Source organism: Homo sapiens, chromosome X (genome assembly GCF_000001405.40).
Source record: "Homo sapiens chromosome X, GRCh38.p14 Primary Assembly".
Taxonomy (NCBI): Eukaryota; Metazoa; Chordata; class Mammalia; order Primates; family Hominidae; genus Homo; species Homo sapiens.
In genome coordinates this window covers 127,294,837-127,308,182 of record NC_000023.11, presented here as the reverse complement: position 1 = coordinate 127,308,182, position 13,346 = coordinate 127,294,837, and the positions used below count along the sequence as shown (strand labels likewise).

Below are 13,346 nucleotides of genomic sequence, written 5' to 3'. Positions count from 1 at the left end.
TGTCGGTTTAAAGTCTGTTTTATCAGAGACTAGCATTGAAACCCCCGCTTTTTTTTTTTTTTTTTTTTTTTTTGCTTTCCATTTGCTTGGTAAATATTCCTCCATCCCTTTATTTTGAGCCTATGTGTGTCTTTGCACACGAGATGGGTCTCCTGAATACAGCACACAGATGGGTCTTGACTCTATCCAATTTGCCAGTCTTTGCATTTTAATTGGAGCATTTAGCCCATTTACATTTAAGGTTAATATTGTTATGCGTGAATTGGATCCTGTCATTATGATGCTAGCTGGTTATTTTAAACATTATTTGATGCAGTTTCTTCATAGTGTCATTGGCCTTTATATTTTGTGTTTATGCAGAGGCTGGTAACTCTTTTTCCTTTTTGTATTTAGTGGTTCCTTCAGGAGCTCTCTTAAGGCAGGCCTGGTGGTGACAAAATCCCTCAGCATTTGCTTGTCTGGAAATGATTTTATTTCTTCTTCACTTATAAAGCTTAGTTTGGCTGGATATGAAATTCTACTTTGAAAATTATTTTCTTTAATAATGTTAATATTACACCCCCCCCCCTTTCTGGCTTGTAGGTTTTCTGCAAGAAATCTGATGGACTTTCCTTTGTAGGTGACCTGACCTTACTCTCTGGCTACACTTAACATTTTTTTCTTCAATTTAACCTTGGACAATCTGACGATTATGTGTCTTGGTGTTGCTCTACTCGAGGGGTATCTTAGTGTTGGTCTCTTTATTTCCTCAAGTTGAATGTTGTCCTGTCTTGCTAGGTTTGGGAAGTTCTCCTGGATCATATCCTGAAGTGTGTTTTCCCACTTGATTCCATTCTCCCCATTACTTTCAGGTACACCAATCAATCGTTGGTTTGGTCTTTTCACATAGTCCCATATTTCTTGGAGGCTTTGTTCATTCCTTTTCATTATTGTTTCTCTAATCTTTTCCTCATGCCTTTTTTCAGTAAGTTGATCTTCAATCTCTGATATCTTTTCTTCTACTAGATCGATTTGGTTATTGATACTTGTGTATGCTTCACGAAGTTCTTGTGCTGTGTTTTTCAGCTCCATCTGGTCATTTATGTTCCTCTCTAAACTGGTTATTCTAGTTAGCAGTTCCTGTAACCTTTTATCAAGGTTCTCAGCTTCCTTTCATTGGGTTAGAACATTCTCCTTTAGTTCAGAGGAGTTCGCTATTACCAACCTTCTGAAGCCTGCTTCTGTCAATTCATCAATCTTATTATCCGTTCAGTTTTGTGCCCTTGCTGGAGAGGAGTTGCAATCATTTGGAGAAGGGGCATTCTTGATTTTGGAATTTTCAGTGTTTTTGCACTGGTTTTTCCTCATCTTCATGAATTTATCTACCTTTGATCTTTGAGGCTGAAGACCTTTGGATAGGGTTTTTATGGAGGGGTCCTTTATGTTGATGTTGATGTTGTTGCTTTCTGCTTGTTAGTTTTTCTTCTAACAGGCGTCTCTTCTGCAGGTCTGCTGCAGTATGCTGGAGGTCCACTCCAGATCCTGTTTGCCTGGGTATCACCAGTGGAAGTTGTAGAAGGGTGAAGATTGCTGCCTGCTCCTTTCTCTGGAAGCTTGGTCCCAGAGGGGCACCAGCCTGATGCCAGCTGGAGCTCTCCTGTATGAGGTGTCTGTCGACCCCTGTTGGGAGGTTTCTCCCAACCAAGAGGCCTGGGGGTCAGGGACCCACTTGAATAAGCAGTCTGTCCCTTAGTAGAGCTGGTGCGCTATGCTGGAAGAATCCTCGTCAGGATCAGCTGTTGTCTTCAGAGCTGTCGGGCAAAAACGATTAAATTCGCTGAAGCTGCGCCCACAGCTGCACTTTCCCCCAGGAGCTCTGTCCCAGGGAAATGGGGGTTTTGTTTGTAAGCCCCTGACTGGGCCTGTTACCTTTCCTTCAGAGATACCCTGCCCAATGAGGAGGAATCTAGAGAAGCAGTCTGGCCACAGCCGCTTTGCTGCGCCCAACCCAGATCTCCCAGCCTCCTTAGCACTGTTAGGGGAAAACTGCCTACTAAGGCCTCATTAATGGCGGATGCCTCTGCCCCCACCAAGCTTGATCATCCCAGGTCAACTTCAGATTGCTGTGATGGCAAAAAGAATTTCATGACAGTGGTTCTTAGCTTGCTGGGCTCTGCGGGAGTGGGAGCCGCTGAGCGAGACCACTTGACTCCCTGGCTTCAGCCCCCTTTCCAGGGGAGTGAACGGTTCTATCTCCCTGGGGTTCCAGGCTCCACTGTGGTATGAACAAAATCTCCCATGGCTAGCTCGGTGTCTGCCCAAACGGCCGCCCAGTTTTGTGCTTGAAACCCAGGACCCTGGTGGTATAGGCACATGAGGGAATCTCCTGATCTGCAGATTGCAAAAAAACGTGGGAAAAGCATAGTAACCTGGCAGGGTAACACAATTCCTCATGGCTTCCCTTGGCTGGGGGGAGGGAGGTCCCTGGTCCCTTGCACTTCTCGGGTGAAGCAATGCCCCACCCTGCTTCTGTTCGCCCTCCGTGGGCTGCACCCACTGCCTGACCTGTCCCAGTGAGATGAACTGGGTACCTCAGTTGGAAATGCAGAAATCACCCGCCTTCTGCCTTGGTCTCACTGGGAGTTGCAGACCGGAGCTGTTCCTATTTGGCCAATTTCCACTATATATTTTAATTCTCAGAAATCATTTTCATTTCCTTTCTATTTTTGGCGTATGCTAATAAGTTGTCTGAGAAGTAAGGCTTTATTATACTCGATTTTAAGTGATGACAAATAAAAATACTTGTGTCCTCTGAAGAAACACTGGATATAGCATGCAAGGCTTTATTAGCCATCTTCTATATTTTATGTGGTTTATGTGTCAACAACGTTCAGTGAGCTGAGAATTAAAAATTTGACTGAGAATAAACTTTACTGATTGAAGAGCTGTCATCCACAAATTTTATCATTTTAGAAACTGCTTAATAATTTGCTGACTCAGTTCACTCATCTTTAAAAAGAGAATAAATGATATTTCTGTATCTGAAAGATTTTCTCTGGAAAAATGACTAATAAAATTAATCATTGCAGGCAGTATGTGATATTATAAATGCTTTGTGGACTAAAGCAAAATGGGTTTGTGATTTTAATCATTCTGCAAATGGACATAAATAAAAAGAAATACATTCTTTTTTTTTAATAAATGGACTGATTTTGAGCAGCTCAGCCTTTTCTTTTCTCTTTGAAGATTTCTCTTCACATTTCTGTTCCTACAAAGCTAGATTTTCTACTTTGTGAATGAAGAATTTCTCTATGTATCATAGCTTAGGAGTAGTTTTTCCTTGTCTGATCTTCTAATGGCTCAGCTTTGATGAAAGCATCTTGAAGCACCATGTGTTCACTTTTCTACCATCAAAGATTCTTTCTCTCTAATGTCCTTTTTTTGAGAGGTATGGCAAGAAGAACTTTCTTTTATTCAGTTTGGCAATGAATAAAATACTAAAACAACAAGTATTTTATTGTTAATAAAAATAGCTTAAAACTATTTTATTGTTATTAATAGAATTATAATTCTTATTCTTATTATCATTCCTATTATTTGTATTCTCATTATTAATTAGCAAATTTATTACTCTACAAATTTTCTGTACAATTACAGTGTTTTCAGCACCATATACACATTAATTAAATTAGAGCTCAATAATAATCTGTAAAATGAACATCTAGAAAGGTGTATCTCCATTTTACAGGCAAGGAAACCAAGGCTTAGTGAGATTGTATAATTTGCTGATGATCACTGAGACATGAAGTAAAAGTATTGAGATTCAAATACAGATTTGTCTGATGATGAAGTCTACTGTCCTTCTAAACAATCTTCTCAAGATATTTCAAGATCTAAGCTATAAATCTAAACATTAATTTATAAATTATAAAAATAAAGTGTATCTCATTAATTATCATATAAAACACAATAAGTGCATTCAGAAAATTCAAAAGTTACCTGTTTACATTCACTTGCAGCTTCTATGCTAAAAGTTTTCAAAGTGTGATACCATAAAACACTGGTGTCCTGAAAATAGAACCAATGTGTTTCGTTGCCAATCTACTAACAACCAGGTGATCCTAATCCACAGAAAGATCAAGCTGATTAATAAAATTGTATTCATCTAAAAATGTTTTCATGTAGCTTTCTTGAGCTGATAGCATTTAAATTTCAGTGGATAATCATTTTATTTTGGTCTTTTCATACGTGCTCTTGACTTTCTTCATTTTCTACTCTGCAGTAATTTTCTTAAAATAATAGATTCAATTATACTATTCCCATTCAAAATCTTACAGTAACTTTCTGTTGTTCTTACAATAAGTTTCCAAATTTTGCTCCATTCCTGTTTCTCCAAACTTAATTTTGTATTACTCTTCTTGCTCTATTCTCTAGCCTCACTGGCCTCATTCCTTCTTCAATTACTTAACACATATCTATTCTTCAGGTTTCAATTTTGATTCTCCTTCTCTCACTGCATAAATGCTCCTACAGGTTTTTTAAATTCATACTACTCACCATGATTATAGTTTATCAATTTATATTTAATTATCTGTTTTCTGTCTCCCTGTTATAGCATAAGCTCCATGAGGTCAGGGACTGTTCCTGTATGCTTATCCTTTTATTTTCACTGCCTATCAGAGTGCCTGCTACATAGTAAGTACATTGTAAATACTTATGTGAATGAATACTTAAATACTTAAATAAATGCTTACATGAACGAATAAGATATAGAAAATAGCACTGAAAAAAATGTTCCATTTAATGTATACTATTTGAAGGGCCTTTATTATATGTGTATACTTCAGGTTAAAAAGCACCCCGTTTCTGAAAGCTGCAAAGAGAAATAGCAAGTTAATGCAGTGATTAACAATGTTTTTTATGTTCTACTCAATTAACATAAGTTGTCCACATGGGTAGTAAAAATGTATTTGGAAATCCTAAAGTATAAACATTCATTTACGTATATGGTGTTTTTTTAATATAGACACAGACACAGCAGAAAAGATTTAAGGTGTATAATATTAATGAATAGAGCAAAATTAAAATCAATTGAAGCTTGCCAAACTTGAAGATTGCATCACAAAGTGGATTTTATGACTAAATATTTTTTATGTGCTTACTTGGCACTTTTCTGGGTACCAGAATGTAATATTCACAGCGCTGTCATGTATTACATGCTTGTTACAGTTGAGGAATCTAAGACTCTGATAGACTGATTGACTAGAGTAAGTTCAAGAGTCAAAATCAAATTAAATTCAAAGCCTATGTATGTTCTTTTCATAGTTATGTCCTACTGTTTCTATTGACTCATGAATTTGTTGATTGTCATTTTAGACAATGGCCGTTAGCTTATATTTACCCGAGTCACACTTTTTGAGTACAGAATATAATGATTTGAAAAATAATGTTCTCTTTCAAGACTTAGCTGAAATACTGAAAATAAATATTATACTACTATATAGGAAGATTTTATATCACAACAATGTAAATTATCCTAAAATTAATATATGCATTTAATGAAATTCCAAATATAATCTTATAGTTATATTAGTAAGTCTGTTTATTTTAGAAACACAAATTATTTAAAGTTTATTTGAAAGAATGATCAGAATATCTAAGAAAATTATAAAAGGTAATAATTAAGCATTACTTGCCCTACTAGATATCAAAATATTCTATAAAGCTATTATAATCAAGTCAATATTGTATAGACATAGGAATAAAGAAATATTTTACTGGAACAAAGGAAAGAATTCAGAAACAGATCCTATGACAAATGAGAATTTAATATAGTAAAAAAATGGTTTTTCAATTCAGTGGTAAAAGAATAGTTTATTTCATATAAGGGATAATCACGACTCTAGACATCCCTAAGAAAATAAATAATAATACTATTCATCAATGTATCAAAATAAGAACATGAATTAAAAGCAATGTATGATGAACTAAAAATCTTAAAACATGTACAAGACTAAATAAGCAATGTAGGATTGGAAAATAAGTTCATCACCAAGACAGGAAACCTAATATCTGTAAAAGAAAATGAAATAAGCACTTTCATTTACAAAAGTTAATAATTTTTCTAAGGCAAAAGGTGCTTTAAACAAAATCAATACCTAAACAACAAATTTGGAAATAACAAAGTAGATAACCGAAAAAGCTGTAATATCTACACCAATGCTGCTATAGTTTTAATGGGTCTTCCCCTCAATTTATGTGTTAGAAACTTGAACTTCAATGCCATAGTGTTGGGAGGTGGAGACTTAGTGAGGTTTTTAGGTCATAAGGGCTCCATCCTCATGAATGAATTAATGCCTGTATAAAAAAGGCTTGCAAGGGTGGGTTTTCTTTGTTTTGCTCTTGTGACATGAGATGACATAGTGTTTCTCCTCTCCGAAAGATGTGGTATTCAAAGTATCATCCTGGAAGCCGAGAGACCATGCCTTAACCTGCTGTGCCTTGCTCTTGGACTTCCCAGTTTCCAAGACCGTGAAAAATAAATTTCTGTTCTTTATAAATTACCAAGTCTCAGATACGAACTAGGCAGCTGTTGTCAGTTATCTCAGGGAGAAAGTTAATAGGAAAAGGGATAGGGGGATTATTGGAAATTAAACTTTTAAAATACATTCATATATTGTTTTAATTGTTGCAATAAATATATATACTTGTAATTTTAAGAATTATGTTGATATGTTTTATTTTATTTTATAACAGTTACACTCTTTCATTTCATTATTAAGACTGTTTCTGTCTTGTTTTAAAAATTATACCTGATTTCTTCTCTATTGATTAGTTTTATACTCTTGAGTCTGATGATGTGCACATATTCAGATTATTTAATTATTACCTTTTTAGAGCATCGCTTCTCCTAATCTATTTACTATATAGCCCAGTTCTGTTGGAGGGATTTTTAATTTTTTTTTCTGATTCAAATATTCCTATTGTTTTGATGCCATTCATTAGCAGCTATTTTCTCCTCAAAAGAACATGTAATAGATGTTTCCTTTTGAAGGTATTTATAAGCCATATATTTATGATGTATATTATGTTATTTTTTATGAGAAAATAGACTATTTAAATACATTATATACTAATGATGTAGACAGATAATTATTCCCTAATTTATCTTCCTTTATGAGTTTCAATATTTCTGCATAGCTCTGTATCAAATGATACATGTCTGGAGAATGATGATGTCCCAATAAAATCTCCTAATTCTAATTTTAAAAATCATGTTAATTCTTTTGTAAATGGATGGTATTTGCTGATTGTACCTTCCTAAATATGATTTTATAGAACATTTTTACCAAAGGCATATCACATAGTAGAAAAAGGTAATAAAATAGAAGTCAAAAGACCTGGATTCTAGTCCTGTCTTTGCTGCTCTGTAACCTTTCAAATCCCATTTAAAAGAAAAATAAAGGTAGGCTAGAAATCACTGAGATCAGCAAAAACATAACAATAAGCAAACATGTATAATTCATCATGCTATTATGCTTTGCTGACCCTAGATATGATCAAATAAACTTTCACAGCCCTAGAAACCAAAACCAATTGACTTGTGTGCAAAGAAAATAACACTTTTTTAACTTTTATTTTACATTCCAGAGTACAAGAGCACATTTTTCATACAGGCAAACTTGTGTCATGGGGATTCGTTGTACAGATTATTTCATCAACCAGGCATTAAGCCTATTACCCATTAGTTATTTTTCCTGATACTCTCCCTCTTCCCACCCTCCACCCTCCAAAAGGTCTCGGTGTCTGTTGTTCTCTTCCTGTCCATGTGTTCTGATCATTTAGCTCCCACTTATAAGTTATACCATGTGATATTTTGTATTCTGTCCCTATATTAGTTTGCTAAAGATAATGGCCTCCAGTTCCATCCATGTTCCTGCAAAGGACATGATCCCATTCTTTTTATGGCCACATAGAATTCCATGGTGTATATGTACCATATTTTTCTTATCAAATCTATCGTTGATGGGCATTTAGGTTGATTCTATGTCTTTGCTATTGTGAACAGTGCTGCAATGAACAAACTTGTGCATGCATCTTTACAATAAAACCATTTATATTCCTGTGGGCATGTATGCAGTAACGGGATTGCTGGGTCAAATGGTATTTCTGTTTTTAGGTCTTTGAGGAATCGCCACAATGTGTTCCAAAATGGCTGAACTAATTCACACTCCCAACGACAGTGTATAAGCATTCCTTTTTGTCCACAGCCTTGTCAGCATCTGGGTTTTTTTTTTTTTTTTTGACTCTTTAATAATAGCCATTCTAATTGGTGTGAGATGGTATCTCATTATGGTTGTCATTGCATTTCTCCAATGATCAGTGATGTTGAGCTCTTTTTCATATGCTTGTTGGCCGCATGTATGTCTTCTTTTGAAAAGTGTCTGTTTATGTCCATTGCCCACTTTTTAATTGGGTTGTTTGATTTTCTCTTGTAAATTTGTTTAAGTTCCTTCTAGATTCTGGATATTAGACCTTTGACAGATGCATAGTTTGCAAAAATTTTCTCCTATTCTGCAGGTTGTCTGTTTACTCTGTTGATAGTTATCTTTGCTGGGCAGAAACTCTTCAGTTTAATTAGATCTCATTTGTCAATTTTCGCTTTTGTTGCAATCACTTTTGACAACTTCATCATGAAATGTTTGCCCCTTTCTATGTCCTCAATTTTATTTGCCTAGGGTGCCTTCCAGGGTTTTTATGATATTGGGTTTTATATTTAGGTCTTGAATTCATCTTATTTTTTGTACATGGTGGAAGGAAGGGGTCCAGTTTCAATCATCTGCATGTGGCTAGCCATTTCTCCAAGCACCATTTATTGAATAGGGAATCCTTTTCTTATTAATTGTGCTTGTCAGGTTAGTCAAAGATCATATAGTTGTGGGTATGCACCTTATTTCTGGCTTTTCTATTCTGTTCTATTGATCTATATGTCTCTCTCTCTTTTTTTTTTTTTTTTTTTTTTTTTTTTTTTGCACCAGTAGCATGCTGTTTTGGTTACTTTAGCCCTCTAGTGTAGTTTGAAGTTGGGTAGCATGATGCCTCCTGCTTTTTTTTTTTTTTCTTTTTTTCTTTTGCTTAGGATTGCCTTGGATATTCAGGCTCCTTTTTTTAGGTTTTTATGAATTTTAAAATAGTTTTTTTTTTCTAGTTCTGTAAAGAATCTCAATGGTAATTTAGTAGGAATCATATTGAATCTATAAATTGCTTTGGACAATATGGCCATTTTTACAATATTGATTCTTCCTATCCATGAGCATCAAATGCTTTTCCATTTATTTGTGTCATCTCTTATTTCTTTGAGCAGTGTTTTATAGTTCTCTTTGTAGAGATCTTTCACTTCCCTAGTTAGTTGTATTCCTAGTTATTTTATTCTGAAAATAAAACTTTTTTGTCATTCCAGATGACTACTAATTCTTTTCTATCTCTGGCTTTCAAGAACTATTGTTTATTGTCATTCTACCTGATGCATCATTCCTCCACACTTTTTCTCTCTTTTCTAACATCATTGACTAATATTCTAAATATTACTGCAATGTTTAAAAGAATTCAAACTGGCCTCACCAAGAAAAAATAATCCACATCTTTCAATTTTCCACTCACCCTTCACCCTGAGCCCCATCCACTCATTTGGGAAACTTAAAGCAATGAGAAATTGACCATAGAAGTCTTTTTATGGAGGTTATTAAGAATTTGATGTGCATAATTACTTGACTCACCTTTTTTTTTTTGTTTTAGCTCAAAATTACTAAATTTTATGTGTACAGTAGATCAGGCAAGAGGCTATACAACTATCTCTCCAAAATTGTGTTTTGATATAACTTGGTCCAATAAAAGGACAATAGCAGGTTGTTGGGTGCATATACATTTCAATGTCTTGTTTTAAATTTTGCATTTTAGTGTGTCTGTGAATTTCTATGTGCGTGGCTACTGCTAATACTTTCTACATAGTAAATACGTGAGATGCCCTACAACTGGAGAGCTGACCCATACATGAATAGGAAGGGAAAAATAATATTTAGAACAATGTATTAACTGTAGACTCCTTTTAGTTTCAAGTATAAGAGACTGCAAGTGAAATTAAAATGCTTTTCCTTCTTTAGAAAATCAGTATAGGCCACAAAAATCAGTATAAATTGTATCTCTTATAGTGTTTCCTAGACAGTGCTTCATCAGTGTCACTTTTTGAAGTGAATAATGCAATTGCCCAGGCCCATTTTAATGCTGAGACATGGATTCACTTGTCAACATCTTAAATCAATCAGAAATTTGTTCTTGTATACAGGAGAAAAAAAAATGCTAACTAAAAACACAAACAAAAACTTTTTTTAAAGCAAATAAACCTCTGGGGACTAGAAGATCCTGTTCCTAATTCTGAAGATTCAGCCTTGTTATCAAATATTATTTTTGGCGGTTTTGTGTGATCCATTAAAAGTGTATTTCCAACTAAGATTAAAAACACAAAGGAATAAATTATTAAATAACTGATCAAATAAATAACAAACATTAGTTCCAATATAACAGCACAAACAATAAGTTGTCCTTAATTGTCTTCATTATTTGGTAGATCAAATTTGCAACAATATTTATCCGTTTTGAAATTACTGGCAAATTTTTCCTAAAATATTTTTGAATTATTACTAGCACATTACCATTGCCTCTACATTTTCATGTATAAGAAATTGCTGCTTTGTAAAAAATCTTTACTGTATTGATCTCATATTAGGAGATGTGAACTAATTATATGGTGTTCCAATGTCAAGTTTTAACAATCATATCATTTTGCACTACATCATGTATCACAGATCACAGATGTACTCAAAACAAATCAAATTTTCCTATGTCACTATAATGTACACACACAAACACAACTTAGAAATCACTTAGGAAACCTGACCAAATTTGTTGAAAGGAAAGCCTAACTAGACCTTGGAAGCCATATTCTATGACATCTAGAAGTTATATAGCTTTTATCTGTCACTTCTGCAATATTTAGGTACTCTATATCTATATCTCTATATCATCTATTAATATATTATCTCTACCATCTATATGTATATCTATAGCTTTCCATCATCTGTGAGGACTAGTTTGACATCAAAGTCACTAGGAAGAATTACTTCTCTTTTGAGAGTTCAATATTTACAATGTTATTGGTTTTCTGTTTGGTAACATTTTAGTTAATCACCCATTTTTGACAAGACTCAATCTAACTTTTCCTGAATAGTCCATGTAATAATTCTTTGCCTTTATATAACACTTTACCCTTTCAAAATATTTTCAAATACATTACTCCAGTTGATTATCTCGACAACCTTTTAATATACGGTGGCTAGTAACATAATTATTGATATAAGAAAAAAAACTGAGATCCCTGTTGGTCAGACAACTGGAACCAGATCCAAGGCTCATGATACTTGGTTTAGTGCTTTATCATGAAACACTGCCTCCCTTGATTGCTTTTTAAAACACCTTTTGGTCTTACATGCTTAGGACATTTTTTGTAAATTTACACAACTGGATTTATTTTTACATACAAGATTTGTGTAACTTGATTGTATTATACAGGCATGCCTTGTTTTATTGCATTTCACTTTATTCTGCTTCACAAATAGTACATTATTTATAAATTAGGTTTGTGGCATCCTTGCATTGTGCAACTCTATTGGCACAATTTTTTCACCAGCAAGTGCTCAATTTGTGTCTCTATATCACATTGGGGAAATTCTTGTAATATGTTAAACTTTCCATTATTATTATTTCTGTTATGGTGATCTGTCATCAGCGACCTTTGATGTTACTATCGTTATTGCTTTGGTGTGCCATGAACCACACCCATACCTTACCTGATAAATGTTGTTTGTTCTGACTGCTACACTGACCAGTCATTCACCCGTCTGTCACTCTTCTCTGGCCTTCCTATTCCCTGAAACAGAACAATATTTAAATTAGGCCAATTAATAATCCTACAATGGCCTCTAAGAGTTCAGTGAATGGAAGAGTTGCACATCTCTCACTTTAAAGCTAGAAATAATTAAGAAGAGTGAGGAAGACACATCAAGAGCCGAGATCAGCTGAAAAATAGGTGTTTTGTGTCAAACGATCAGGCAGGTTGTGAATGCAAAGGAAATATCTTGAAGCAAATTAAAAATGCTACTCCAATTTTCCCTGGAATATTGGCTAACTATATGCAGAAGAAAGAAAGTGGACCCTTATATCTCTCACCATATACAAAAATTAACTCAAGATGGACAAAAGACCTAATTGTAAGACCTGAAACTATAAAAAATCCTAGAAAGAAACCCTAAAAAAATGCTCTTCTTGACAACACTCATGGATGACTTTGAGGAATTTGAGACTTCATTGGAGGATGTAACTGCAGATGTGATGGAAATAGCAAGACAATTAGAATTAGAAGTGGAGCCTGAAGATGTGAATGAATTGCTTCAATCTCATGATAAACTTGAACAGATAAGGTGTTGTTTCCTATGGATGAGCAAAGACAGTAGTTTCTTGAGATGAAGTTTACTGGTAAAGATGTTTTGAACATAGTTGAAATGACAAGAAAGGACTTAGAATATTACACAAACAGCTGAAAAAGCAGTGGTAGAGTTTGAGAGGATTGGCTTCAATTTTGAAATAAATTTTACTGTAGGTAAAAATCTGTAAATCAACATTGCATGCTCCAGAGAAATCTTTTGTGAAAGACAGAGTCAACTGATGTGGCAAACTTCAATGTTGTATTTTACAAAATATTGCTCCAGGAATCCCAGCCTTCAGCAACCATCATCTTGATCAGTCAGCATCCATCCACATTAAGGCAAGACCCTTCACTAGCAAAAAGATTATGACTCACTAAAGGCTCAGATGATCAGTAGTAGTTTTTAGCAATAAAATATTTTTAAATAAATGTATGTACATTTTTAGACATAATGCTACAGTACACTTAGTAGACTTCAGTATGGTGTAAACATAACATTTATATGCACTAGGAAACCAAAATACTCTTGTGACTAATTTTATTGCAACATTTACTTTTTGCAGTGGTCTGGAACAAAACCCACATTGTTGCCAAGGTATGCTTGTATCCCCCAACCGTATGCACAGTGTTTGATGCCTTCCTATCTGCTGAACACCACTGCAAAAAATTCTCATCACTTTGGAAATCTCTATTTTTATACTAATAATGATTAACTTGGAATAAAGGTACTAAAATTCTTAATGTCAGCCTTAACCTTAGTGTCAAATTTCACAGTTTTAATTTATCCTATTTCAGGTTTTTTAAACCAGTGTTCACAATGTACCCTGAC

At 34.4% G+C, this 13,346-nt stretch overlaps 1 long non-coding RNA gene across 6 annotated transcripts in view; it reads left to right on the top strand.

Moving 5' to 3' along the window:
- The first annotated feature begins 4,591 nt into the window (after window positions 1-4,591).
- LOC107985709 (uncharacterized) overlaps window positions 4,592-13,346 on the top strand; it is a 56,466-nt gene continuing 47,711 nt past the window's right edge. For 3 of the 6 annotated variants that reach the window (XR_007068367.1, XR_001755952.1, XR_001755955.1), the window contains exons 1-2: window positions 4,592-4,674; window positions 13,081-13,112. This is a non-coding gene — a long non-coding RNA (uncharacterized LOC107985709). The remainder of the gene's footprint in view (window positions 4,675-13,080; window positions 13,113-13,346) is intronic. The other 3 variants (XR_001755954.1, XR_001755956.1, XR_001755957.1) reach the window with 2 other exon arrangements.